The sequence below is a fragment of the Homo sapiens genome, chromosome X (genome assembly GCF_000001405.40).
Source record: "Homo sapiens chromosome X, GRCh38.p14 Primary Assembly".
NCBI lineage: Eukaryota > Metazoa > Chordata > Mammalia > Primates > Hominidae > Homo > Homo sapiens.
This window is the reverse complement of record NC_000023.11, coordinates 153,700,492-153,726,675: the sequence shown is the minus strand read 5'-3', so window position 1 is coordinate 153,726,675 and position 26,184 is coordinate 153,700,492. Positions and strand designations below refer to the sequence as shown.

At 55.5% G+C, this 26,184-nt stretch overlaps 2 protein-coding genes across 7 annotated transcripts in view, besides 6 other annotated features; one reads left to right on the top strand and one right to left on the bottom strand.

Moving 5' to 3' along the window:
• Positions 1–102: part of an enhancer, noted in NCBI's record as "active region_30037", that runs on past the window's edge. NCBI's record gives its function as "activates an Ori minimal core promoter by ATAC-STARR-seq in GM12878 lymphoblastoid cells {active_cell/tissue: GM12878}" and the evidence as "EXISTENCE:reporter gene assay evidence [ECO:0000049][PMID:35858748]".
• The window catches only part of ABCD1 (ATP binding cassette subfamily D member 1), a 19,900-nt gene extending 18,080 nt beyond the window's left edge, over positions 1–1,820 (bottom strand). For all 3 annotated transcript variants that reach the window (NM_001440747.1, NM_000033.4, XM_047441917.1), the window contains exon 1: positions 510–1,820. In NM_001440747.1, the coding sequence (NP_001427676.1) occupies positions 510–1,409 (900 nt within the window). In that variant the 5' untranslated portion in view covers positions 1,410–1,820. The remainder of the gene's footprint in view (positions 1–509) is intronic.
• Positions 379–1,200: an enhancer, noted in NCBI's record as "H3K27ac-H3K4me1 hESC enhancer chrX:152990931-152991752 (GRCh37/hg19 assembly coordinates)". NCBI's record gives its function as "activates a minimal SCP1, AML or CMV promoter by ChIP-STARR-seq in naive H9 embryonic stem cells {active_cell/tissue: H9 hESC(naive)}" and the evidence as "EXISTENCE:reporter gene assay evidence [ECO:0000049][PMID:30033119]".
• Positions 1,661–2,620: a silencer, noted in NCBI's record as "silent region_21070". NCBI's record gives its function as "represses an Ori minimal core promoter by ATAC-STARR-seq in GM12878 lymphoblastoid cells {active_cell/tissue: GM12878}" and the evidence as "EXISTENCE:reporter gene assay evidence [ECO:0000049][PMID:35858748]".
• BCAP31 (B cell receptor associated protein 31) lies at positions 2,289–26,184 on the top strand. Of its 4 annotated transcripts, none has more exons than NM_001256447.2 (8): positions 2,289–2,342; positions 3,388–3,523; positions 5,704–5,804; positions 10,987–11,134; positions 22,582–22,717; positions 23,618–23,741; positions 24,569–24,669; positions 25,701–26,184. In NM_001256447.2, exons 2-8 carry the CDS (start codon positions 3,432–3,434, stop codon positions 25,737–25,739), a joined length of 741 nt encoding a protein of 246 aa, NP_001243376.1. In that variant the 5' UTR covers positions 2,289–2,342; positions 3,388–3,431; the 3' UTR covers positions 25,740–26,184. The 4 variants fall into 4 exon arrangements, with proteins under 4 accessions (NP_001243376.1, NP_005736.3, NP_001132913.1 ...); NM_005745.8 differs by having other exon boundaries at positions 2,289–2,475; NM_001139441.1 differs by lacking the exon at positions 2,289–2,342 and adding an exon at positions 2,549–2,660.
• Positions 2,831–3,010: a silencer, noted in NCBI's record as "silent region_21069". NCBI's record gives its function as "represses an Ori minimal core promoter by ATAC-STARR-seq in GM12878 lymphoblastoid cells {active_cell/tissue: GM12878}" and the evidence as "EXISTENCE:reporter gene assay evidence [ECO:0000049][PMID:35858748]".
• Positions 17,968–18,262: an enhancer, noted in NCBI's record as "tiled region #5891; HepG2 Activating DNase unmatched - State 12:CtcfO, and K562 Activating DNase matched - State 25:Art". NCBI's record gives its function as "activates a minimal TATA promoter and a strong SV40 promoter by Sharpr-MPRA in HepG2 and K562 cells {active_cell/tissue: HepG2 | K562}" and the evidence as "EXISTENCE:reporter gene assay evidence [ECO:0000049][PMID:27701403]".
• Positions 19,250–19,750: an enhancer, noted in NCBI's record as "H3K4me1 hESC enhancer chrX:152972381-152972881 (GRCh37/hg19 assembly coordinates)". NCBI's record gives its function as "activates a minimal SCP1, AML or CMV promoter by ChIP-STARR-seq in naive H9 embryonic stem cells {active_cell/tissue: H9 hESC(naive)}" and the evidence as "EXISTENCE:reporter gene assay evidence [ECO:0000049][PMID:30033119]".

Sequence of the window (26,184 nt, the reverse complement as noted above, 5' to 3'; positions counted from 1 at the left end):
CCTCCGCTTGGGCTGAGTCATGCCCATAATGCCGGCCTGCCTGGCCAGCCAGCTCTGCTGGACGCCGGCCTTCAAAGGGCCCAAGGGCCCAGGAGGGGCTAGGCAGCAGGCTGCGTCCCTCGGTCCCCGCTCATGAATGGCAGGCGTCTCCTCCTGGCTGGCTGCAGGAGTGGGGCGGGCAGGAGCTCTCGAGGCTCAAACCGCTAGGATCGCAGCTCTAAGGCCAGGACAACCTCCTTGAGGAGGAGAGGAAGCAGAAGTGGCCTCGAGCGTGCAGGCAACCAGCACAGGACAGTCCCCACCCAGCCTTCCTGCCTCTCCACTGCCGCGCCTGAGTCCACGGCTGCCCAAAGGCCCTGCCCACCCCAGCCCGGCTCTCCCATGGCCTGCCCACACCTTTGGCATCAGCCCCGGCCCGCCCCAGACTGTCCCCACCGCTCACGGCTGCCTGCCCCCGGGCCTCCCTGCCACACGCTTCCCTCCGTGCCCGGCACCCCAACCTGCCCCACCTCATGGCCCCCATAGAAGGCGATCTCCTCCGAGTTGGCCACCACACGCGAGTGCATGTAGCGCAGCTCCCCCTTCCGCCGCGCCTCCTCTGCCACCAGCTCCCCGAACTTGGGCGAGAAGGCCCGCAGCACGTTGGCCGTGAGGAACACCACGAGGCCGGCGATGGCCGAGGGCCAGGCTGTGCCGGCTCCACGGGAGCGGGCCGCCCGAAGCAGGGTGTAGGAAGTCACAGCCACGTCCAGGAGTGGCTTGGTCAGGTTGGAGTAGAGGTGGGCCACAGAGGCCGCAAAGGCCACCACGTCCTCCGTCAGAGACTGGTCAGGGTTGCGAAGCCGCCCGTCCATGTTGCTGACCCGGTAGTAGGTCTGCTGGGAGAAGTAGAGGCGGTAGGCGTGGGCCACCAGACGGCTGCGGAACGACAGGGCCAGTTGGCCCTCCAGGTAACGGATGGCACTGTTGACGAAGGTAGCAGGGAGGGCGATGAGGAGCCACTGCAGCAGCTGCCAGCCAAAAGCCCGCGGGTCCTTGCGGACGATGCAGCGGGCCAGCCTTCCGTCCAGGCGGGCCACATACACCGACAGGAAGGTGCGGCTCACCAAGGCGGCCGAGTGCAGGGCCAGCAGCCCCGTCTCCCGGCACAGGACCCGGGGGAACAGCAGCCGCAGGAGCCACAGGAGCCGCTGCAGGAATACCCGGTTCATGCCAGCTTTGGCCGCCGCGACCCCGGAGGCCTCCTGCGTGGGCTCCCCGGCGGGCGCCTGAAGACCCCTGGCCGGGGCCAGGCACTGGCGCACCAAGGGGTAGACTTTGTGGGCTCCATAGGCCGCGAGGGCCAGGAGCACGGCCGTGCGCTTCAGCGTGTTCCCCCGCCAGGGCCGGGGCCTGGAGAGCACCGGCATGTCACCTGGGCTGGCTGCCGCGTAGGGACTGGGGCTGGTGCCTGGGGCAGCAGTTGAGGCAGGTGGCTGGAAGGATTGTTGCTCTGACCCTGGGCCTGTTGTCTAGGCAACTGGAAACCTTGCGATGGCCCCTGAGACTGTCGCTTTAGGCCCCCGGGGTGGTGCTGGGGCCCCTGGTGCGGTGGGCTCAGGGCCCTCCAGGGTCGCGGCCTCTTCGGGCAGCCCAAGTGGAGGAACTTGGCTCTCCTGTCCTGTCAGTGCCCTGGCCCCTGAGGTCAGGGCCTTGAGAGGTCTCGGGCAGAGGGGGCGTCTCTTCCTCTCCACCTTCTCCTCCTCCTCCTCCCCCGGTGGCGCCCCTCCCCGGGGCACCAGGCGCGTCCGTCCGCTCCGCAGCCTGGCTGAAGCGACAGTGACTCCTCCACCGGCCCAGAATCCCCACCCACTCTTCCCCAGGGGCGAGTCGGGGGAAGGGGAGGAGGCGGAGGAGGGGCGAGGGGCGGAGTCCGGGCGCGGGAGCCCCACCCTGTTCTCGCCCCTCGGCGGGGCCCGCCCACACCCCCACCTCCCGTTCTCGCCCCTCGGCGGGGCCCCTCCCGCACCACAGAGACGTGGGACGGCCGCGCGGACTAGAGAAGCGGCCCTCGCCGGCCCGACAAAGCCCCGCCCCGCCCCGCCCGCGTGCTCGCTCCACCCCGCCCTGCTCGCCCGGAGCCCGAGGCGCCTCTTCCTCTCCCGCTCGGAGCGCCGGCCCTCCGCTCCGGGGCGGGGTGGGAAGCGGAGGTGGGCGGAGCCTCCGGGGCCTCGCGAGGGCTGGTGGGCGGTGCCCGGCGGGCGCTTCCGGTTTCCGGCCGCGGTATGAGGGGCGGGGCCGGGGCTGCTGTGGGAGAGTTCTGTTGCTGCGGCGGGGCCTGCACGTTGACTGTGGGAAACTCGGTGAGCGGGCTCCGCGCGCCGGGCTGGGCTCCGGGACCGCGGAGGCTCCCCGGCCCATCGACGAGGGAGAGAGGCGAGCGGCGCGGGGAGGCCCGGGGGCCGGGGAATCTCGGGGCCCGCAGCCTACCTGCGTGTGAGAGGCAGGGGCGAGGGGAAACCGGGCGGCGCCTCTAGAAGCTGGTCTCGGGGGCGGGGCGGGGGGCGGTGAAGCCCCACCTGGAGGAGCGGCCGGGATGGGCCTCCGGGACGGTGTGCCAGGCCGGGGCCAAGTCGGAGGCCCCTCGCTCTGGGTGGGCGCTGGGGCCCGCGAGGGCTACTGTAAGGACCCCTGGCTTCTGAGGATACTGCGTCTAGAACTTTCTCCGTATGGGGCCTTGAGGTGCTTGGTCGAGACCTGCCTTTGCGCTTGGTCCCGAATCCTGCCCTCTAGGAGTCGCTCTTGCGGGCCTCCAGCCCACCGGAGGCGAAGCGGCCCCGGGCGGAAGGCCGCTGGATCCTCGAGGGAGGTGCCGGTTTCTCTCCGCGGGCGCCGTGGGGACGGTGGGAGGCGGGGGCGTCGGCAGCGCTTGGACTAGGTGCGGCCTTGGGCCTGCCTGGTAGCGGGGATTTGGGCCCGCAGAGCGCCCGCCTCTGCGGCTGAGTTCTGCCTGGCGGGGAAGGGAGCGCCCGATGGGTGCCGAGGCGTCCTCCTCTTGGTGCCCTGGCACTGCTCTTCCCGAAGAACGCCTTTCAGTTAAACGGGCGTCGGAAATCTCGGGCTTCCTGGGGCAGGGATCGTCGGGAGAGGCCGCTCTGGACGTGTTGACACACGTGCTGGAGGGGGCAGGTAATTGACCAGCGAACGGAAGTTTGTGGGGCCTGTGAACGCTGCTGGCCAAGAGGCCCTGCCGAGTGGAGCCCTGCTTCCGCCAGCGCATCAGAGACTTTGAAGCAAAGTGCAGGGGGTCAGGGTGGAGAGTGGCGGCCCCAGCCTCGCAGGGTAACTGAACTGGATGTTCTTGGCTGCCCAGCGCTTACAAGTCCCGTACCTTTTGTGCCCTGCCAGGAAACAAGCTCACATCTTCCTGTGGGAAACCTTCTAGCAACAGGATGAGTCTGCAGTGGACTGCAGTTGCCACCTTCCTCTATGCGGAGGTCTTTGTTGTGTTGCTTCTCTGCATTCCCTTCATTTCTCCTAAAAGGTATGGCCTATGGAGCAAGCAGGCGAGTTAGGCAGGAGGGTGCCTGTGCCCTAGCCCTGGGACTGGTGTGTGCAGCTGGTGGACCCTGGAATTGGGACCCGATGGAACAGGTAGAACCTGTCTGGGGTGGGGGTGGCAGGGGTTGTGTTTGTTATTGCCAACCCTTCCCAGGGTTCTGCTTCGTCATGACTTGCTCAGTTCCTTTTCCTGTGTCCCCTGCCTTCTGGTCTTCAGAATGCCCCCGAGAGGCAGGAAGATCTATGTTACAGTTCTGGAAATGATGCCCTCCCACCCACTCTTGGTCCACGGGGTGCTGGGATGGTAGCGTGGGATTCGGAAGACTTGCACCACTGGGTCACGTTGTTGCTGATTTGGTGACTCTTGTCCTCCTAACTAGTCTCACTGGTATTGCGCAGTGGCTGCATGAACATTACTCAGCCTGTGGAGGATGAAGCCATATTCCCTTTTAATGAACAGAGGACCTGTTAAAAGTGAATTGGAGATTAATTTTAATTATGTATAATACCTGAACACATCCCTATTTAAATTACGATATTACAAATAAGGCCAAATCTCCACAGGTATTTTTAAAAGCCGTTTTTTCGTGAAAAATTATCTTTGATGTGATACCATAGAAAGTATGCAGTGCTGTCTGAGGAGGATTCTTGTAGAAAACCACACCTTCGTACAGTTGACAAGACGTGCAGAGATAGAGGGCCCCGGGGAGCTTTAATCTGGGAAGCTTTAGAGGACAGACAATCTGATTTCTACACAAAGGAAACTGGAAAAGCAAATGAAAGAGGGAGAGGGAAGGGGGAGCTTCCAGAATAAGCTGGATTTAAGACGTTTATCTACCGAATGCCAAATCGGTACCTTGTTGGGTCCGGATTCAAACAAATATCATTGCCTTCAGTGATTGGCATATTCAACTCTAGCCCTGATGATGAGGGCTTCTTGTTGATTTGAACAATATGTAAACACTTCTGAAGTCTCTTCTTAGAGCTGCATCCCAAAGCATTTGTGGATGGAAATGATGTGAGGTCTGGGGTCCATCTCATCATAACAGGGTCGGGGGATATAGACAAACCAAGGTTTATCATGTGGAAAGACAGTTTAAAGAAATAACGTGTATGGGGCAAACATTTGAATATTACAAAGGGGAGTACAATGAAAAGTAAGTTTCCCTTTTCAGAGACTACCAGTATGTTTTCTTTTTGTTGTTGTGGTTTTTTTGTTTGTTTTTGTTTTTATTTTGAGACAGAGTCTTGCTCTGTCACCCAGGCTGGAGTGCAGTGGTGTGGTGCTCGGCTGACAGCAGCCTCCACCTCCCGGGTTCAAGCAATTCTCCTGCCTCAGCCTCACGAGTAGCTGGGACTACAGGTGCCTGCCAACATGCCCAGCTAATTTTTTTTTATATATATATTTTTAGTAGAGATGGGAGTTCACCATGTTGGCCAGGCCGGTCTTGAACTTCTGACCTCAGGTGATCTGCCCATCTCAGCCTCCCAAAGTGCTGGGTTTACAGACGTGAGCCAGTGCGCCCAGCCAACTGCCCACGTTTAAGATTAGTTTTCCAGGCTGGGCGCGGTGGCTTACACCTCTGCACTCCAGCCTGGGCAACAGAGCAAGACTCTGTCTCAAAAAAAAAAAAAAAAGATTAGTTTTCCAGACATTTTGATCTATACGTGGACCAGCATCTTTTTTTTTTTTTTTTTTTGAGACAAGGTCTCGCTCTGTCACCCAGGCTGGAGTGCAGTGGCGCGATCTCGGCTCACTGCAACTTCCGCCTCCCAGGTTCAAGTGATTCTCCTGCCTCACCCTCCTGAGTAGCTGGGATTACAGGTGCCCACCACCACGCCTGGCTAATTTTCGTACTTTTAGTAGAGACAGGGTTTCGCCATGTTGGCCAGTTTGGTCTTGCACTCCTGACCTCAAGTGATCCACCCACCTTGGTCTCCCAAAGTGCTGAGATTACAGGTGTGAGCCATTGCACCTGGCCTTTTTTCCAATAGTCTTGAATGGATGTCAAATTAGAGAATTGCAAGCCACTGAGGCTGACTTTGCATGGGCTATTCGGCCATTGGAGAAGAGTACAAAGCTGGATTTCCATTTTGCTCAGGGCCCTAGAGCTCGTGTGTGTGCTTTCTCTTCAACTCCTGTCCTTTTTGTCTTCTTCACAGATGGCAGAAGATTTTCAAGTCCCGGCTGGTGGAGTTGTTAGTGTCCTATGGCAACACCTTCTTTGTGGTTCTCATTGTCATCCTTGTGCTGTTGGTCATCGGTGAGTGAGCTATGGCTGAGGGCAGCTACCTGACCTAGACCCTGGTCTCTGCTGCAAAACCCTTTGCCACTTTTGATGTGTAGCATCCAGTTTTGGCTGCTAGGAGACAGACCAATGAAATGCTGTGTCTTTCTCTTGAGGGAGGGAAGAGGCTCCCTTTGCCCATGCTGCTGACCGCTAGTCGGTTCTTCACTTTGAGGCCCCTCTAGGCCGTACATGGTGGCTCATGCCTGTAATCCCAGCACTTTGGGAGGCTGAGGTCGGTGGATCACCTGAGATGAGGAGTTCGAGATCAGCCTGGCCAACGTGGTGAAACCCCATCTCTACGAAAAATACAAAATTAGCTGGGCGTGGTGGCGGGCACCTGTAATCCCAGCTACTTGGGAGACTGAGGCAGGAGAATTGCTTGAACCCACGAGGCAGAGGTTGCAGTGAGCCTAAATCGCACCATTGCACTCCAGCCTGGGCAACAAGAGGGAGACTCCATCTCAAAAAAAAAAAAAAGAGGCCCCTCTAGCAGTGGGCGTGGGCTTATACCAAGCAGTTTGTATGCAGCTTATGACGGCCACCTTACATTGCTTTTTTTCAAGACCTTGGAAGGAGGGACGCCTAAGGTTTCTGAGGCTGCTCCTCAGGTCACTCTAGAACTGAAGCCAAGAGAAGCTAACTGGCCTGTGACCTTGGTCTGAGTAGTGCTGCTCACCAGTCACTTAAACAGCAGAATTGCCTGGAGCAGGGCCTCTAATGGGGGACTGAGCAACCAAGCACACAGTGAAGTCCTGCCATTCCCTGTAGTAGTAGGAGGAGAACACAGAGATGTGTGGCAGCATATCTTGGGGAGAGATCCTAGACCTCTCTGCATCTGGGCTAGACTTGAGGTTTTCCCAGGTCGTTCCAGCTCTGTAGTTCTGTAAACTCTGACATTGAGGTGTACACTAGCAGGTGCTTGAAAGATAAACTGGTCCAAGGGCAAGCAGGCTCTGGGATAAGGCCAGGCCAGGTGGTGGTAAGATGAAAGGCAGACATTTTGCAATGAGGTGGTAGGGTGACCATCTGGAGACAAGAATCAATAAAGCTCTTGTCTGACTGGTAGATGTTTGTTGTTTTGCTGTGGTAAGTGATCGATATGTCCCCCTGTTTGGGCTCCAAAGTATTGGCTTGGCTCTGCTGTGGACACCACTCTTGTCTCAGAGCTGTGGTGCCTGCCTAGGCGTGGAACACTCCTCCCACCGAGTCCCAGCAGAAACACTGAGCGGGTGGGGGGCTGTGGTTCAGGGGAATGTGCAAAGCCTCACCCACCAGCTTCAGCATTAGGCATTTCTCCTTCCTGATGTCTCAGAGCCTGATAGGATATGTTCAGGCTGGACTGCCTCTGAACAGGCCAAGTGTTACCTGACAGCTTCCAACCACATAGGGTAGGTGCCAGCTGCCTGAGCACCTCAGTGTTCTTGAAATACTTGGCAAGGCCCCAAGAGGTAGTAGCTCTTTCTAACCAGGGTTCTCGCCCTGAGCAGCCTCCAAGCCAGGAGTAGGTAGGTAATATATGTGTCATCCCCAGGCCACTGAGTTTTTGAACTGAGCATGTGTGTTTTGGCTTTTGGGTCTGGGGTGGGGGTAATAACTGGGGAGGGGAGGGACCATGCTGAGGATGATTCCCTCAGGGTCTTGCCCCTTCCCCAAACCAGAAGGAGTATGTTTCTTTCCTAGAGCAGCTGAGTGGGCTGGAGAGATCCTTTGCGGAATCCAGTAGTTGACAAAGCCTTCATTCTTTTTTGGGATCGGGGAACTGCTTGGAAGTTCTAGGGGGACATATGGCCATGATGACTGGCTGCTTCCTACTCCCATGTTAAGAAGCATAATCTAGAAAGATCTGCAGAGCCTTCTTCAAACAGAAGTGTTAGTCACAGGTACTAGTGAAGGGTAAGGGGCATAACTAGCTAGAGCTGTGGCCTTGCTTGGGGGTGGGGAGGGTTGAGCAGATCCTCCTGGAGGATGGAGTTGCTGAGGGTGCAGGATCTTCCCACCTGGGCTGAGGCCCGAGACAGGGAGGGCTGGTTTCTACTGTGGGACTTGGGTTAGTATTGCTCAGTCCCCCATCCCCACTATTGGTCATTGGCCAAGGTGGTCCTTAGGATGGTGGGGTTCCTGGATGCAGGTGACAGTGTAAGGAAACATGTTTATCTTGTTTTTCTGATTACAAAAATAATGGGTAATTATTCTTAAAAATTCAAAAGTTGAATTTAGAAAGTTAAACTCCCCATAATCCCATTTCCCACAGGTAACCATCATGAGTATTTTGTTGTGCATTTCCAGAGGGGTTTTGTATGCTGACATCTTTAATAAAATGTCTACAACGGTGGGATCATACACACAAAGTATTTATGTTTCTTTCCACATTCCTGCTGGGACATGGCAGGAGGAGCATTCCACGCCTGAGCTGGTAGCACAGCTCTGAGATAAGACTGCTGTCCATAGCAGAGCCTAGCCAATACTTTGGATTGTGCTTTTTCTACCTGCTGCACGTTAGACATCTTTTTTTTTTTTTTTTTTTTTTGAGATGGAATCTCACTTTGTTGCCCAGACTGCAGTGCAGTGGCGCCATCTTGGCTCACTGCAACCTCCGCCTCCCAGGTTCAAGCGATTTCCCCTGCCTCAGCTTCCGAGTAGCTGCAGGTTACAGGCGCCCGCCACCATGCCCGGCTAATTTTTTGTATTTTTAGTAGAGACGAGGTTTCACCGTGTTGGCCAGGCTGGTCTTGAACTCCTGGCCTCAAGTGATCCGCCCACCTCGGCCTCCCAAAGTGCTGAAATTACAGGCATGAGCCACTGTGTCCGGCCAACATCTTTTTATAGCAATCTCATTCTTCTTAAAGATCATGTAGTATTCTCTCATGTGGTTGTGCCGTAATCCATTCTTTATAAGCATCTTCGAATCATTGCAAATTTATGCAAATACTTCTGTGGGATAATTTCAGAGGTGAATTGTTGAACCCGAGGGTATGAACATTTTGCATTTTATACAGGTGTGCTGTTTTTACCCCTGCTAACAGCGTTTGAGAGTACTCGCTTCGTGGTGCTGAGGGATGGGCAGATTTTTATAATGCAAGATCAACATAAAAACTAAGCAGCCTAAAACCGGAAATTAAGAACCCCATGAGGCCAGTGCCCTGACTCACGCCTGTAATCCCCACACTTTGTGAGGCTGAGGCAGTTGCTTGCGCTCAGGAGTTTGAAACTAGCCTGGGCAACATGGCGAAACCCCGTCTCTACCAAAAATAGAAAAAGAAAAAATTAACTGAGTGTGGTAGCACACACTTGTGGTCCCAGTTACTGGGGAGGCTGAGAGGTGGAGGTTGCAGTGAGCTGGGATCGTGCCACTGCACTCAAGCCTGGGTGACAGAGTGAGACCCTGTAACCCACCATACAAAAAGAACCTCGATACCCATACAGTGATACCTTGCTCCTCTCATATGGGAGTCTATTAAGAGCATTCTTTGGGTACATCTTAGTGTATTGACTTAAAACGATGTCTCAGGATGCATGGGGAAAAGCAGTAGGTTTGGCGTGGCTCAATTTCTACATTAGAGACAAATATAAATATATTTTTAACTGGAGCTCTATATGTCTAACAGCGGCTCTTTCAGGAGCAGAGGCTGCTCACTGACTCAGCAATTATTTCAGTGCCCACTCTGCACCCAGAGCTATCCCAGGCCCTGGGAATATAGTATAAAAGATTTCTGCTCTTATGAAGTTTGTAGTCTACTTTGGGAGAGATGGACCCAAAAAATGTGTTTAAAGAGAATTTCAGAGATGGATGTCTATTACGAAGCAGGTAACAGTGTAATGTGACTAAAAATGACTTTAGATGTGACCACATTTTTATTGTATATACTGCTAGATGTGATTATGTTATGGGATCCTTTCCGTTTCTACATTTTGGGTGTGTTTGAACTTTCGATGAGTGTGAATTCCTTTCGTAATCAGAATAAAACATTATAGATAATAAAACCCATTGTAAAGCTTTGAAATGAAACCCTTGACTCCTAGCTGGTATCCTGCAGGTCTTGACTCCTATTTTTTTGTTTGTTTGCTTGTTTTGTTTTGGCTTTTTCGAGACAGAGTCTCGCTCTGTCGCCCAGGCTGGAATGCAGTGGTGTGATCGTAACTCACAGCAGCCTTGACCTCTTGGGCTCAAGCGATCTTCCTGTCTCAGCCTCCCGAGTAGCTGGGACTACAGGTGTGCAGCACCATGCCCAGCTATTTAAAATTTTTTTTTTTTTTTTTTTTTTTTTTGTTGAGAGAGAGTCTCCCTGTGTTGCCCAGGCTGGTCTTGAACTCGTTGGCCTCAAGCAGTCTTCCTGCCTTGGCCTCCCAAAGTGTTGGGATTACAGGCGTGAGCCACCACATCTGGCCTGGGTCTTGACTCTTAAGCACCTTAGGTCCCCGGAGCAGGCATTTCCATCTCCAGGTTCAACTTATCATTGTGGGGGTTGGGGGGCTATGGGCCAACTTGAGATGAACAGAACAAGACGCGGTGAGGGTACCATGGGAAAAGGAAGCCACCCCCATTTCCAGAAACTCTTTAGGCTTGGTTAGCATCGTGAACTGCAGAGCAAGCCTGGGGCCTGTGTAGAATGGGGCCAGGGATTGAAAAGCTGGAGGAAGGAGTGGGTCTGAGGGTGGGAGCTTCCTTTTTTTTTTTTTTGAGATGGAGTTTCGCTCTTGTCCCCCGGTCTGGAGTGCAGTGGCTCAATTTCGGCTCACTGCAACCTCCGCCTCCCGGGTTCAAATGATTCTTTTGCCTCAGCCTCCCGAGTAGCTGGGATTACAGGCGCCCACCACCACGCCGGGCTAAATTTTTTTTTTTTGTATTTTTAGTAGAGATGGGGTTTTGCCATGTTGGCCAGGCTTGTCTCGAACTCCTGACCTCAGGTGATCTGCCCGCCTCTGCCTCCCAAAGTGCTGAGATTATAGGCGTGAGCCACTGCACCTGGCCTGAGGGTGGGAGCTTCTGATAACAGCATCCCATGAGGGGTGTATGTGCATAGAAGTGGGAAGAACTGGGGAGGCGGATTTGAGGGAAGTGAGTCTGACCTGTCTCATGCCGCCTGTCTGCCTGGTATGGCCTTATCTTGCCCTAGTGTCCGCTAAATGCCCGTGTCTCCTCTCTGCTCCACCACAGATGCCGTGCGCGAAATTCGGAAGTATGATGATGTGACGGAAAAGGTGAACCTCCAGAACAATCCCGGGGCCATGGAGCACTTCCACATGAAGCTTTTCCGTGCCCAGAGGAATCTCTACATTGCTGGCTTTTCCTTGCTGCTGTCCTTGTGAGTGGGGGGTTGAGGGGGCAGGTGCTGTGAAAGGAGCCATGGGCTAGCCATGGACACCGAGCTCAGTGGGCTCAGTCTCCCCCCTGTGACTTTGATTCCTCCTCAGTCTGTGGCCTGGATCCCAAAGCCCTGTCTGTGTTAGGGAAGCCACATAGTTTTCTCCTGACCTCCAGAGGCAGCGTGGAGAGTAGGAGAGGGCTGCCTGAAATATCAGAAGACCCTCACACACCACATACTCTCAGGCAAACAGATGACTATCTCACGGTCTGTTTGCATGGAGAGTGAGATGTAACGGTAAGGCCTTGCCCTCCTCTGGGAGAGGACCTTCAGAGTCCAGCTCACAAGGGAGCGACTGAATGGGGGACTCTTTGTGTCCGGGGTGTTGACCTAGGGACAGCAGGTAAAAGTGGCACGAAGAGGCTGGGCCTCTCCTCACCTCAGGGCCTTCCCCACGTGAAACTCGTAATGAGGACATGTTACATTCCATGGCAGCCAGAGTATTTCTGATGATTTTTTTGGTAAAACTAAGTACCTTAATCAAGGCTAAGGGTAACTAGTCGGGCAAAACTAGACCACTACGAAGTGCCTATTTGAGCCTGGGGCCCTGTTTGCTGCCTCCTGCTTCACATAGCCGTTCTGATCAGCAGGGCCTGGCTGGGAGGTGGATGGGAGCTCAGACCATGTATGAAGGCATTGGAAAGGCGCTTGCTTTGAGGGTGGAGCTCTCATCACTTAATCACTTCTCAAAAGACCCCACCTCTTAATGCTACGGCAGTGAGGATTAAATTCCAACACATGAAGTTTGAAGGGCACTCAGACCATAGCACCAAGTGATTCTCAGGCTCATGGACAGTTATTCCCCACTTGGTTTTGTGCCCCGAGACTCAAGAATCTCCATGCCTAGGAGATTCTTGCTCTCTAGTCACCTGGTGTGTCCTGCTTTACTAGGCGCTACGATGACTACTTGTCTTAAAATCTGTTGTTTAGATGATCTGGTACTCTCTGCGACCAAGTTGGAAAGAGGGGTGGAGCTAGAAAAGGCAAACACATTTTTTTCAAGATAATGGGTTTGATCACAGATTTGATCTACAAGCTTGCTGTCTTCAAACTTAGGAAAGTCAGGAAGGCTGGGAGGAGTCAGACACATACCCTAAATTTTTCAGGAAGTTCCAAACAAGTATTATCTTGTGGTCTGAGGCTGAAAGGGAAGCAGATCTGAAAGACTGAGTCTCAAACCCAGAATTCTGAGTGTGACAGTCAGCAAAATGAGGAAAAAAGACCACATTGAGAGGGAAAGAGAGGAAACTAGGCCATCTACCAGAAAAGCATCTAGAGCTTTAAGAATGGTATGGGGGAGGGGTGGGCTGGGTGCGGTGACTTAGGCCTGTAATCCCAGCACTTTGGGAGGCCGAGGCAGGTGGATCACCTGAGGTCAGGAGTTCGAGACCAGCCTGGCCAACATGGTGACACCCAGTCTCTACTAACAATACAAAAAAATTAGCTGGGCTTGGTGGTAGGTGCCTGTAGTGCCAGCTACTCGGGAGGCTGAGGCAGGAGAATTGCTTGAACCCGGGAGGCAGAGGTTGCAGTGAGCCGAGATCACACCACTGCACTCCAGCCTGGGTGACATCTCAAAAAAAAAAAAAAAAAAAAAAAAGAATAGTATCGGGAAGGTGAAAACCTGCCGGGAGCTCTGAATCATGAAAGACATGGAGAAGTGAGGAGAAGGCAGTCCCTTTTATATGTCTGTGTAAGGAAGGAGATGGAGGGTAGGTGGTCAAGGGCAAAGGAAACACTAGGATGAGAAAATGGAAATTACAGGTGGGCAAGAGTGGCATCCCTAAAGGATGTACTTGATGAGATTATGTCCAGAAGCTGTTGAGATCATCTGCAGAAGGCATTGCCACCGATGCTTGAGGATTTGCAGAGTGGGAGAGATACTGGCAGACTGCAGCCTGGCAAACATCCCAATTTCCAAAGGGAGGAGAAGGTAGATGAGGAATTGACCTGGGGAGGGTTGACTTTGATCTCCAGCCATGCTCTAGAAAGAATAGCTTGTATGCTTTTGGAAAAGAAGAGCGGGATCATTGGTGACTGCTGTGAATTCCTGGAGAAGTTCTGTCAGCCTTCTATAGATGGAGTGTAGATGGATTTTTAGCATGATGCTTGCCAGTCTGAGTCTGTTCTTAACGACCAGATGCCGAAGTGTGGGGAAGGTGCTGGCAGAACAGTGTAGTTAGGTGTGGTCCTAACCCACATGAGTGGCTGCCATGTGGATTGGCTCTATCCACACATACACATAGAAGCCTTAGGGGGCTCACTCTTTTTTTTTGAGACAGAGTCTCACTCTGTCGCCCAGGCAGGAGTGCAGTGGCTCGATCTCGGCTCACTGCAAGCTCTGTCTCCCGGGTTCACGCCATTCTCCTGTCTCAGCCTCCCAAGTAGCTGGGACTACAGGCGCCCGCCACCATGCCCTGCTAATTTTTTGTATTTTTAGTAGAGACGGGGTTTCACCATGTTGGCCAGGCTGGTCTCAAACTCCTGAGCTCAGGTGATCTGCCTGCCTCAGCCTCCCAAAGTGCTGGGATCACAGGCGTGAGCCACCGCGCCTGGCCTGCTTTGTTTTTTCAGTGTTTCCTGCAAGCTGCAAATGGGCTGTGTGGCCATAAGGCTGGACAAGAGCATCACACAGAAAGCCAAGGTCCTCTAGGGTCACAGCCACCATCTTAGATTTAACTCTTAGACTAGCAAGGAGTATATATTTCTGGCAAAATTCCAGAAATGATTAACTAGATCGCTTATGGGCAACTGGTGAATCCACACTGATCTCTGGGATCACCGTTTCCTTTTCTAAGAAGTCACGCAAGACCAACCTCATGGCTTTTTTGGATCAGGCTACTGGATGGGAACACGGGAGAGTGCGGCAGCTGAGCCACCACGCCCAGCCTCCACATGCTTTTTAAAAACATTCCCGTGTTTAAAAAAAGTTAACCACGGGGCTTTTAAGCACCACATGCTTTAAATGCCCCTTGGTGACTTGAGTGTTCTACTCAGTTTATCATGAATGTTTTTCTGGGACAACTGACCTGTTTCCAGCATATTTATTTATTTATTTATTTATTTATTTATTTTTTTTGAGACAAGGTCTCGCTCCATCACCCAGGCTGGAGTGCATTGGTGTGATCATGGCTCACTGCAGCCCCGCCCTTTTGCCTCAGCCTCCCGAGTAGCTGGGACTATAGGCATGTGCCACCACGTGCTGCTAATTTTTTAATTTTTTGTAGAGACAGAGTCTTGCTCTGTTGCCCAAGCTGATCTCAAACTGCTGGGCTCAAGAAATCCTCCCACCTCATCCTCCCAAAGTGCTAGGATTACAGGCATGAGCCACTGTGCCTGGCCTCTCCAGCGTTCTTGAGTGTTCTTGAGTGTCTACCCAATTCCTCATTGGTGGATGTCGAGCCTGCAGCTCTGTTTCTGATGTCATAAACAGTGGCCTCAGCTAGTCAGCTTTCTTTGGGCCTCCTGATCCTCTTGGAGCACCCATGCCACTCCTATTATCTGTCTCTTTCTTTTTTGTTGCTGTTGATTTTTTTCTTTTTCTTTTTCTTTCTTTCTTTCTTTTTTTTTTTTTTTTGAGACAGAGTCTCTCTGTGTCGCTGAGGCCGGAGTGCAGTGGCACAGTCTTGGCTTACTGCAGCCTCCTCCTCCTGGGTTCAAGCAGTTCTCATGCCTCAGCCTCCCAAGTAGCTGGGACTACAGGCACATGCCACCACGCCTGGCTAATTTTTGTATTTTTAGTAGAGACGGTTTTGCCCTGTTGGCCAGGCTGGTCGTCTCTGACTCCTGGCCTCATGTGATCTGCCCACCTCGGCCTCCCAAAGTGCTGGGAATACAGGCATGAGCCACCACACCCACCTCTCTTTCTTTCCATGTTCTTTATGTCCCACTGAGAGGCTCAGTTCTTGAACGCGAGCAGGTACTCATGGCGCGAGCAGGTACTCATGGCCCGAGCAGGTTAGATGGTTAGGAGTTAAGGGTTCCAGACTTCGTATGCAACTTTTCTGCGTGGTAGAGAGCCTGCCTAGTGGGTATTCCAGTACTGCTGGCATGCAGTCACCTGTGTGGATTAACATTTTGCAAGGGTGTATGGGTTGGAGTGGAGCAGGAGAGCCTGAAGTGGGGAGACCAAGTTGGAGGTTGTCAGTGAGACTTGCTGGGAACCTGAACGGGGGCAGTGGTACAGTGGTAGTAGAAGTGGGGTGGAGGGGACAGAGCTGAGAGGCCCAGGTGGAGTTGAATCAGCAGGCTTTTCCAGTCTCTGGGAGTCTGAGATGATCTTGGTTCTGCTGTGGACTTGCGGAATCGAGGACGCAGCCCCCTGCTGGAAAGGGAGCTCTGGCTGCCCATGGAGTAACACTATCGTGCTAGGTGTGAGGGCTGGTTGCAGAGTGGGACTTCTGGCCAGGCCTGGGGGCAGCAAGGAAAGGAGGGGACAGGGAGAGCAGGGTTGAGCAGGGGAGGCCTGGCAGATGAGCAGGATAGGGTGCTTCCGGGCAGTCGAGCTTGGGTTGCTGGCTTCAGAGGCATTGAGGCCAGGGCAAAGGGAATGTGCTGGCAGGATGGATTCCAGCCTCCAGCAGAGCGATAGAAGATCGGGGAGCAGAAGGAAGAGGGAAGCAAGATCAAGAAGGAGGATGTGAGCAGGTTAGTGGCCAAGGAGGGGAGCACATTCTGGAGAAGGCCTGGTGCTTGGCACTAGTTTTCAGCGGGACTGGGCTCAGAACACATAGGAGGTTAGCCTGAGAGCTCCCGAGTAGCCTTTGTAATTGGGAAAGGGGGCCTGGCCTGAAAGGAAACATCACACCTAGAAGCAAGTCTGTACCCTTGGCCCCCCATAGTCTGCTGCTGCTGCCTGGGATAGCAGTGGGAGAGTCCCAGCTTCCCAGCCAAAGCCTTCTGAGCTTTTGTCCTGCCTCTGCCACTACTGTCTCAGTCCTGTCACTTGACCCAGAAGCCTGGGGCTGCTCTGCCCTTTCTTCTTGTCCCATGTGACTGCCCAACCATCGTGGCCATTTCTCAGTGTGTGGCCCAGCAGGGTGAGGCGCTTTCACGGTGTCAAGTAGCCAACCTCCAGAAGTCTTCAGCCTGCAGAGCTGGACTCCACCCATGAAACAGCCTGTAGATGTCACCTCCTAAGCCTCTCTCTCACAACCCTTGGGACCACTGCTGTGGTGGGGCCACCACCATCCCGTATAGACCAAGCGGGCTCCCTGCCACCTGCCTTCCCCCCTTTGGCCTGTGCACCCCACTTCCAGTGGCTCGCTATCACATGGATCCTCCAGGACGCGGCTCCCCCACAGTCTCTGCTTCGGCCTCCCCCTGTCATGAAGCAGTCATGTGGGTCTCATGGGAGAGCCTCACGTAACACATGCTCTCCCCCAACTCGATTCTCTGAGCATTTTGGGGACCTCTGTGCGGAACACCCCCTCCAGCTGCCGGCCCAGCCGGCACCTCCTCTTCGTGAATCTCCGAGGCTTCCCTGTGGAGCCTGTTCCGAGGGGCCCACACCATGTTCCCGGCTGACCCATAGCGCTGTCCTCGGGTCCCAGGGCAGCCTGCACACGCAGCTCTGAGGTGTGGCACTTGGCAGGGTTGCCCATCGTGGAAAACCTGGGCTCTTCCCCTTCAGACTGTTCAGCTCAGTGCCAAGGGCCTGGCACATATGAAGGGCGCTGAAACATTTGGTGACTGAATGGGCTGTCCCGGGCTGACGGCGACAGCTTTAGGTGCGTGCCTGGGTTGAACTTGTTGGGCTTTTTAGCCAAGAAGCCCAGCTTTTCAGGTCTTAGGAGCTATGACAGTTTGTGAAGGCGGGTCCATCGGGGCCACCTCCAGGGGACCACACTGGATGAGCCACTGGTTTCCACTTGTGGAAGACTCCGGCAGTCGCTCCTGTTCCCTTCCTGCCAACCTTGCACTTCGGGGGCACAGCTAGCGAGAGGCCCTCTTGAGTCTTGGAGTGTGTTGGGGACGGCAGCTCCCTCTGGGCTGGGGTTTGTGTGTTCAGAGGACCTGCACTGCCTTCTCTGCCTTACTCAGCTTAAATGACGGTCAAGGTTAGGCCCAAAGTGCTGGTTAGCAGCCAGTCGCAGGAAGGCCCCTGTTTGTGTGGAAGCCCCCTGAATTTTTGCTGACCTGAACTTGATCCACAGGCATCTTTTGTTTCCTCTTTACCCCTCCAGGGTAGAATCCCATCGCTGCCATTAGCCCAGATGGAGCTGCCCGTGCTTCTCTGCTGAGCTGCTTTTTCTTCTTTTTTAGGTTGAGTCATCTAATCACAGACTACCTTTGCCTAAGTTGTCTTACCTCAGTCGGTTGCTCTCTACCCTCCAGCTTACCCCAAACCCCTCAGATAGCTGGTTTTAAAAAAGATACACAGCAAAACCCCAGAAACCCAGCTGGTCTGTGTCACTTGTTCTCAAGAAGAAGGGAGGACAGGCCAGACCCACACCTGCCCCTTTGCCCTGCGCTTAGTGCACTGTCCTCAGGATGGGTGAGCTCCATCTGGGTCGTGGGCTGGAGCTGCCACAAGTCATGTTCTCATTTGAAACGGCCTCCATTTCCCCCAGCTCTAGCCCTCCTCTTCCCGTCTTCTCCAGCGTCTGTGTGCTGGGAGGCTACAGGGAAGGCCACGCAGCTGTACCAAAATGGACTTGGGGCAGCCCTTTGGGGCAGCCTTCTCGGGTCTGCTCTAGGTGACTCTCCCAGTTGTAACCTGTTTTCCTGATTCCAGACTGGTGGGTAAGAGTCGCTGAGGGCAGTGGAAGCCCTGGTGTTAGTCATTCTTCTTCACTGAAGCCTTCCTGAGGCGTCACCTGACTTGCTTCCTTGCCTGGGCGCTGCCTCATTTTTTTTCTTCCACAGCTGGGGCGTGTTCACCCAGAGTCCACTGGCCACCCTGCGGTAGGCCTGGAAAGTCAGCAGGTGGCGCTGGGACACCGGCTTTCTGCCGGCTGGGGGCTGAGGAGTGAGCTTATGTGAACACCATGTGTATGCAGGGGCTGGGGGTTGAATGACTTGACTCGCCTGAAACCCGTCAGCAGGGCGGGCCGGGGGTGGCCACAGCATGGAATCTTTTGGTCGGGACTTGCTCCTTCTCCATTTCCTATTAAGCCCGTGTCCTCTTCCCCTTGCTCATGGGGGAAGACAGGGCTGCTGAAAAGTGCTTATGAGCCATGGCTCTCTCCATTTGATATGGTTGGCCCTGTTTCTCTAGTCTGTGGAGAGGTTCTGTTTCTCCTGCCTTCTCTGGTTTACTCAACCTTTTATAAAAGCACGATAGCCCTGCTCAGTGTCCAACAACATTCTATCAAGAAAGCCCAGTCAGATTGAGGCATTGGGGCTGCCATGTGTCTTCCAAGGCCACATCTGGATTCTGTTAAGTTTCGTTCACTGGCCTTTTTTTGGACCCCAGGCCATTCTATTGGTGACCACCCTGTATCTGTAGGAGTTGCCTTTGGCTCTTAGGTTCTTTCCTGTTTTCTGGAAATGAATAGCTAAGAACAGTGATTCGGGTAAGACTACTTGGGAGATCCAGCAGAGGCAGAAGCTAAAGGCCATGTTCGTGCCCTGTCCTGGGGGCCTGGGAAGCTACAAGGGAACAGACAAGCGCACGTTAACGTGCCTGAGTGACCCAGTGTGAGGGAGCGGGAAAATGTTCTAGAAGGCTGGCTCCCAGGCTGAAAAATGCCAGTGATCAGAGAGGACCTGGTCTGCATTGCTTGGGCCCTGGGTGGGGGTTGAGGGTGTGAGGATGCAGAGGCTGGAGCTCTGGGTTGTGCCTTCAGGTCGCGGCAGTGAATGTTTTTTCCCCCTGCAGCCATGAGCCTGGCTTGCCCATCAGAACGGGTCTGAGACGGCGCCTTCCCACTCCTGTCTTCTGTCTCCTCTGTTGCTAGACTGAGCAGCTCTGTGTCTGCCTCTGCCCCTCTTGGTGCCAGGCTCCCAGGTGAACACAGGTGCAGTCTAGGCCCAGGGAGATTCTGTCCAGCCTTACGTGCAGCCTCAAATCTGTCCCCTCACCTGTCAGGGAGCATTTCCTCTCCTGGGAGTGGGATCCAGTCATCTGGAAGCCCAGCCCCGCGCCCTCCCCCCCTTTTTTTTTTTAGCTATACTTGCTGGAGTGGGCGGAAGACCCCTTTTCAGTGTGCCAGGTATGGGAGTGCAGAGATGAAGGCACAGTGCCCAGCCTAAAGACCTTCATAGCCTGGTAGGGCAGCCATATAAACGGATGGCAGCCACGCAGAGAACAGAGAATGAGGTAGTTACATGCGGGTGCCTGGGGGGCTGCTGCAGGAGCCCCCAGAAGGCGTCCCTCTGATGGGGTGGGAGATCCAAAAGGGTTTCTGGGGGGAGGTGAGGATTGAGCTGGGTCGAGAGGACATTCCGGCCTGGAGAACTGCCACACAGAGCCAGGCGTGTTCCAGGAATGGTGAGGGGTTAGGTGTTACTAGAGCAGGGGGCCACGTGGTTAGTGAAGGAGGAGAGCTCACTGAGGGCATGCGTGCTGGCAGCAGGTGGCTTAAGCAGAGGGCTGACATGGTCGGATTTGCCTTGCTCTGGGAGGTGGATGGGAAAGCCGTATGGCAGCAGATAGGGAGGAGGCGCCAGCAGTGGGGATGATGGTGGGCATGTTTGCAGTTGACATGGAAAGTGCTGGGTTGTGGCTTGGGCTGGGGGCCAAGAGGGCTGAGTCCAAGGCGGTTTGCCTGCCCACCACTACAGCAGGGGCTACACGAGGTGGTCAGGTCAGGCAGGACAAGGGAAGGCCCGTTTTGGACAAGCTGAGTCTAGAATGTCTCTGGGGACATCCAGGAGCCAATGTTTAGCAGGAGGTTAGGTATGAGTCTGGGCCACAGAGAAAACCCTTTCGGGGATAAGAGTGGCTGGGAGGAAGGTATAGGGTGTCAGCTGAAGAGTGCAGACCCCAGAGGGAGCAGAATAACAGTGGGAGGAGGGTGTTGCGAGGGGACCTCAGGAGGGTAACTTAGCAGCAGAGCAAGGAGTTCAGGGTGACCTCCGGCCTGGGCGGTTAGGAGGCCACTGGTGGCCCTGCTGCTGGCTTGGAAGGGCAGGCCTTGGCCAGCCTAGGTTGAGGAATATATGGGAGGGAAAAGACCAGGGGCTTGGGCAGGGTGACTCCAGGAAGGAGGCAGTTGAAGGTGAGGTTCCTGGGGGGAGAATGATCCCGGGTCATCCAGCAGGAAGAGAGAGGACCTAGAAGGTGTGAAAAAGAACTATCGGGCTGGGGGTGCAGTGGGAGGAGTATGCCCGGGGTGCTGTGGGGGTGGGGAGCGCCTGTGAGGGTTGGCAAGAGGAAGGGGAACCGGGGCCTGGCAGAGGGGAGCCCCAGACTGTCTCAAGGCTGGGAACTGAAGGCCTGGGCTGGGGCTGAGCAGGGCCAGGCTTTCGGACACACACAGCGTGGATCTTGCGCTGGACTTTGTGTATGCCCTGGCCTATCTTGGAAGCCCTGGTTCTCAATAGCCGGGAAGGGCCTGGGACGGTCCGAAAAGAGCTGGGCCTCTGCTGCACTGCCGCGGAAGCATTTGTGTTAGCTATCTCCCTGGGTACTGGGGTGACAGCCATGGGCACTCACCAGCAGCCGCTTGCCTGGCCTGGTGGCGGGGAGTATAGCCTTCAGTCTTGCTTGGTCCTCTCTCTACCACCAGGTGGCATGACCCCCACCCCTCAATTCCAGCTGGGAGGAGCGGTCCTCTTCCTCTTTCTACATCACTGGGATCCGCTCTGGGGCTGGGCAGCTCCTTGCCGGGGGCCTGGGTCTTAGTCAGACTTGCCTTTCTTTCTAGGCCTCTCCATTGACTTCTGGCCATGCCGATGTGAGTCAGATGCATTGTTTCTCTCTGGCTCCTAGGGCGCTCAGTAGCTTCCTCCACCTTCAGGCTGTAGCCCAGTGCGGGGCAGGCTGGTGGGCAGCTGGGGGCTGAGGCAGGGAAACCTGAGCCCTAGGCCACGAGGTCCTGGGCCGCTAATTTTAGAAAGCACATGTCACTGGAAACTCTCCTTCTCTGCCAGGAATCAACGGCCTGGCTCTCCTGGTGCTGCCAGGGGCCCCTGGGAGCCTCTCCCCAAACCAGGAACCTCAGGGGTGTCTCCTGGCCCGGGTGGGTACTTTCTGTCCTGAGTACATCTGGAAAGGGGCTCTGCCGAGGCCCTGGAGAGCCATGGCTTGGGCCAGGGAGGTAGCTCACCTTGTCTGCTCTTTACTTTCTCCAGCCCTTCCGGGCTGCCCCTGGCCATGAGCAGAGGCTGTGAAGTGTGAAGGCCTGGCTGGGGCAGGAGGCCACTTCGACTCTTCTGAGTAAGCTGTTGTTGAAGCACTCTGGACTAAGCAGATTTGTCTCTTCCTTCCCCCAGGCCCTGTGTGACCCTTGCCTTCTGAGGTGTGTGAGAAAGGAACCCCTGCCTTGTTTTGACTGTTTGAACGAGTCCTTCCCTCCTCTCTTCCTGCCAGCTAACATCTCGGGGCAAGGGTGAACCAAGGGAAATGAAGTGGCCATTCCAATCTCTGTTTGGGGACTAGCATCTGCCTCCAGCTGCCACCTGTTTGCCTGTCTCTCCTGGCTGCTTCAGAGAGGCAGCCTGCGCCTGTGTCCTGATTCCTCTACACCCTCCAGCCCAAGAAGACCTCATTCGGGGTGCTGTTACATAACGGATGTGTTCCAGCGCAGCCTGCATGATGGGTTGGGAAGGAGGCTGGCCAGAGAAGAGAGTTCTATCTTACGTTGGGACCTGGGAGCTGTTCCCTGTTAGTTTAGAGAGCAGAGTGGTTCCGAGCTCAGGTTCTGGAGTCAGGCAGACATAATTTGGAATTCCAGCCATGTCCATTTCTGGTTTTTGGCCTTGGGTACATTGATTTACGCTGCTGAACTTCAGTTTCCTCTTCTATAAGCTGGGGCAGTGATAGTAACTTCCTCATCAGGTAGATGTGAGGATGCGGCCTGGCATGTTGGAAGTGCTTGGATTGATTAGCTTCTCTCGTTACCTTACCAAGGCAAGCCCAGCCTCGCAGGGAGGAAGGTGGTGCTGTGGCTTGTCTGGCACGTCTAGGCCCCGACCCGGAAAGTGCCGCGTTCTGGGACCTCATGCTGTAGCGAGGCTCTTCCCAGCCCCCCAGGCTCCTGCTTCCAGCCCCTCTGAGAGCTGAGGGTGGCCGTTGGGCACAGCGGCAGAGGACGGCTCCTGGGCCCCACCTTTTCCCTCACGCTGCCAGCACCAGGTTGGCGGCTTCTCACTCGGCTGCCTTGGCAAGAGGGCAGGTCCAGGCTGGAGCTAGGTGTGGAGTGGGAGCAACCAGGAGGTGCTCCTGCCAGCCCTTCATGCTCTTTTTCTCACTTCTCCCTTCTTTTTGTAAATAATTGCAGCCTGCTTAGACGCCTGGTGACTCTCATTTCGCAGCAGGCCACGCTGCTGGCCTCCAATGAAGCCTTTAAAAAGCAGGCGGAGAGTGCTAGTGAGGCGGCCAAGAAGTACATGGAGGAGAATGACCAGCTCAAGAAGGTGAGCCCAGCTTCCCGACCCACCATGGGGCGTCCTGGTGTTACACTGTGGGAGCCACATTCTTCAGGGCCTCAGTGGCCACTGCTAGCCTGTCACGCTGGGAAATGTGCCTGAAAAGCCAGAGTTGGGTGGAGGCGCAGAGGGGAAGTCCTCAGTGGGGAGAGTATGCCTGCTGGAGGCGTCTGTGTGTGAGGGTCCGGGTGAGGAGGAGGGTGTTGCTGCTCTCGTTTCCATCCACTGCTTCCAGTTAGACCCTTCCCTGAGAAAAATGGCCCCTCAGTGAGCCAGGCCCTCTGCTGTGATCCGAAGGCCCTCAGCTAGGCCCTTGTTCCCTGCAAGATTGCCGCACCCCCTCTGGAACTCGGGGTCTGTGGCATCCCTCAGTGCTGGAGAGGAGGTGGGGGCAGGGTAGTTGGCCAGTCTTAGACGTCCCGTCAGGAGGTGAGCTGCAAGGCAAGCTCGGAGGGATGTGGATGCAGAGGTGGGATAGAGCTGGCCAGGCCGACTGGGGGCTCCTAACTGCAGTGAGCGGCACCATGTAGGGAGCACGAGGCACCGCCATCTGTGGAGGGGTTGGTGAGCACCATGGAGCTGCTGAGCCCTGCTGCTTGGGAAGGAGGCAGGGCCAGGGGCCAGGGGCCAGGGGCCAGGGCAGGCAAGGCGTGCCCGGCGAGCTGCAGCAGGTGGCCCCGCTGGCGCTTCTCTTTCCCTCGGCGGGCAGCCACGCCCTGGCCTTTGCCTAGGAGCTGGGAGCAAGTGGTGGCTCGGTTCCGCGTTGACATTTCCGAAGGGGCGTGTGGCCAGGGCAGCTTGAGGAACCGCAGCTCGGTGGGGAGGATGGGGCTGGAACCTCTCCCTCCCTCCCTCCTGAGTAACCCTGGCCTTTGGCACTTTTCCCAGGGAGCTGCTGTTGACGGAGGCAAGTTGGATGTCGGGAATGCTGAGGTGAAGTTGGAGGAAGAGAACAGGAGCCTGAAGGCTGACCTGCAGAAGCTAAAGGACGAGCTGGCCAGCACTAAGCAAAGTGAGGCTCGACCTCGTGTCCTTCCCCGCAGGGAAGTCCAGAGGAGCCTCCTCTGCCCGCTGCTGCCCATTTTGTGCCAAAGTATTAGTAACAAGCCTTGCACGCACGCTCGAGGGCTGGCTGAAAACAGACCAATAGCACCCTGCGCCTCCAACCCCAATGCAGCCATGCTTAGCCGGCAGGCCAGTGAGGCTAAGTGGTTTGAATGGGGCTCAGGAGGAACCAGGCTGCAGTTGGTGGGCCTCGATTGCCCTGCACTAGAGCAGTGCATGCTGGGGCTTTCCCGTCCAGAGTGTGGCACGGTAGCCCCAGCATGCCTGGGGGCTGAGAATGAGGGGAGTGTGGGAGTGGCGTTCAGGAGGGGAGTGGGCGGCTCCCAAGCGGCCTGCCTGTCTTTGGTCTCCCACGCATAGACTTAAGTCTGGGGCGTTTTCCCCCAATACCACAGGCCTCGCCTGCTGCTGCTGTGTGCAAGGCGTGGTTGTCATTGGGTCTCGCTTGCAGGCTGGGATCTTGCTCCCTGTCTCCCACTCTCAGCCTCCCTGGAGGTTACCCTTGCCGAGAGCCACTAGAGTTCCTCTCCATTAAAGGGACTGGGGGATGGCCTCTGTGTTTCTTTTGCTTTATCTTGAGCTTTTTTGTCAGCCCTTTCCCTCTACTTTGGGGGCCTGCAAAAGCAGAGGGGCTTTATTTTGAGAAGTAGCCTCCTGTATAACCTCGTTTGAGATAGATTTGGGCCAGTTTCTGGTGTCTGTAGCAGTCGGGTTTTTTCCCCCTAATTCCTGTCTTTTCGTTTCTGTTTTCTTGGTCATTTACATCATTTCAAGAACTAGAGAAAGCTGAAAACCAGGTTCTGGCCATGCGGAAGCAGTCTGAGGGCCTCACCAAGGAGTACGACCGCTTGCTGGAGGAGCACGCAAAGCTGCAGGTCAGCCCTCCCGTATTGCTGCGCCCAGGGCAGGAGAGCAGAGCAGGATGAGGCAGCCCCTGCGGGTGCGGAGGGAACCTTCCAGGGGCCCAGGGGCTGGCTGCCCTCTCCACCACTCCCCCTGGCCACCTCTGCCCTACTGAGTGGGACCCTTCACCGGGCAGGAGGGGGGTGGCCTGGCAGCAGATGTAGGCACTTGCCAAGGCGGCCCTCAGGAGTGGCACTGGCTCACTAGGCTCTGAGCCTTCCTACCTTCGTGCTCAGGCGCAGCCATGGTTTGGGGCCTGGTCAAGAACAAAGAAGCAGGTGAAACTCTGGGACCCACTGCTGGCCTTCTTTCCTAGGGTGCTGGGGAGTGACGTAGGGCAAAGATCCCTGGGCAAGTGAGGGCACAAGGTGTCAAAAAGGCACCTTCCCTAGCAGGCGCTAGTTGTGGCCATCACCTGCTGCCCTAGGCCTGATCTGAGTCCTCAGACTAGCTTGGGTGCACCAGGCCGCATCTGGAAGCCCAGGCGGTCTTGACGTTGGGAGTGAGGGCCACATAAATACTCCTAACTTTGGACAGCTGGCCTCAGTGCTTGGTGGCCCAAGTTTGGGCACCACAGCAGGTGGGGAGGAAGGGTCCAGCCTCAAAGGGGGCACCCATGCCCTCTGTATGGGGCAGGCTTGGCAGATGGGCTTCGAGGGCACCTGTCAAAGGTGTGCAGAGTTGGGAAGGGTCTGATCAGGTCTTGAAGGGGACTGGATGCCTTGCTGTTCCCTGCAGCCAGGACTCAGCCCCCAGTGAGGTCCTGGCAGTCCTCCCTGGCTGGCGTTAGGTCCAGGGCTTTCCCTAGAGCGTGGGCCAGGGCTGACGCTCCCACCCTGGCAGGCCTTTGGGTGCAGCTGGGGAGGGGGCCCCTTGTTCACTTGAATAGCTGTTGTTAGGAGAGAGGGGAACCGAGGTGGACCTCTGGGGCATGGGGCTGGAGGTGGCAGGGGAGGAGTGGACCCGGCCAACCTACTGCTGTGGGATTTCTGTCCCTTTCCAGGCTGCAGTAGATGGTCCCATGGACAAGAAGGAAGAGTAAGGGCCTCCTTCCTCCCCTGCCTGCAGCTGGCTTCCACCTGGCACGTGCCTGCTGCTTCCTGAGAGCCCGGCCTCTCCCTCCAGTACTTCTGTTTGTGCCCTTCTGCTTCCCCCATTCCCTTCCACAGCTCATAGCTCGTCATCTCGGCCCTTGTCCACACTCTCCAAGCACATTACAGGGGACCTGATTGCTACACGTTCAGAATGCGTTTGCTGTCATCCTGCTTGGCCTGGCCAGGCCTGGCACAGCCTTGGCTTCCACGCCTGAGCGTGGAGAGCACGAGTTAGTTGTAGTCCGGCTTGCGGTGGGGCTGACTTCCTGTTGGTTTGAGCCCCTTTTTGTTTTGCCCTCTGGGTGTTTTCTTTGGTCCCGCAGGAGGGTGGGTGGAGCAGGTGGACTGGAGTTTCTCTTGAGGGCAATAAAAGTTGTCATGGTGTGTACGTGG

What these genes read in the sequence shown, in the direction of transcription:
- BCAP31 (NM_001139457.2), top strand. Translation starts at nt 3,012, where the DNA reads ATGGGTGCCGAGGCGTCCTCCTCTTGGTGCCCTGGCACTGCTCTTCCC. An exon ending in ACACGTGCTGGAGGGGGCAG is followed by an intron (nt 3,169 to 3,387) that starts GTAATTGACCAG and finishes GTGCCCTGCCAG; the next exon opens with GAAACAAGCTCACATCTTCC. An exon ending in CCTTGTGCTGTTGGTCATCG is followed by an intron (nt 5,805 to 10,986) that starts GTGAGTGAGCTA and finishes GCTCCACCACAG; the next exon opens with ATGCCGTGCGCGAAATTCGG.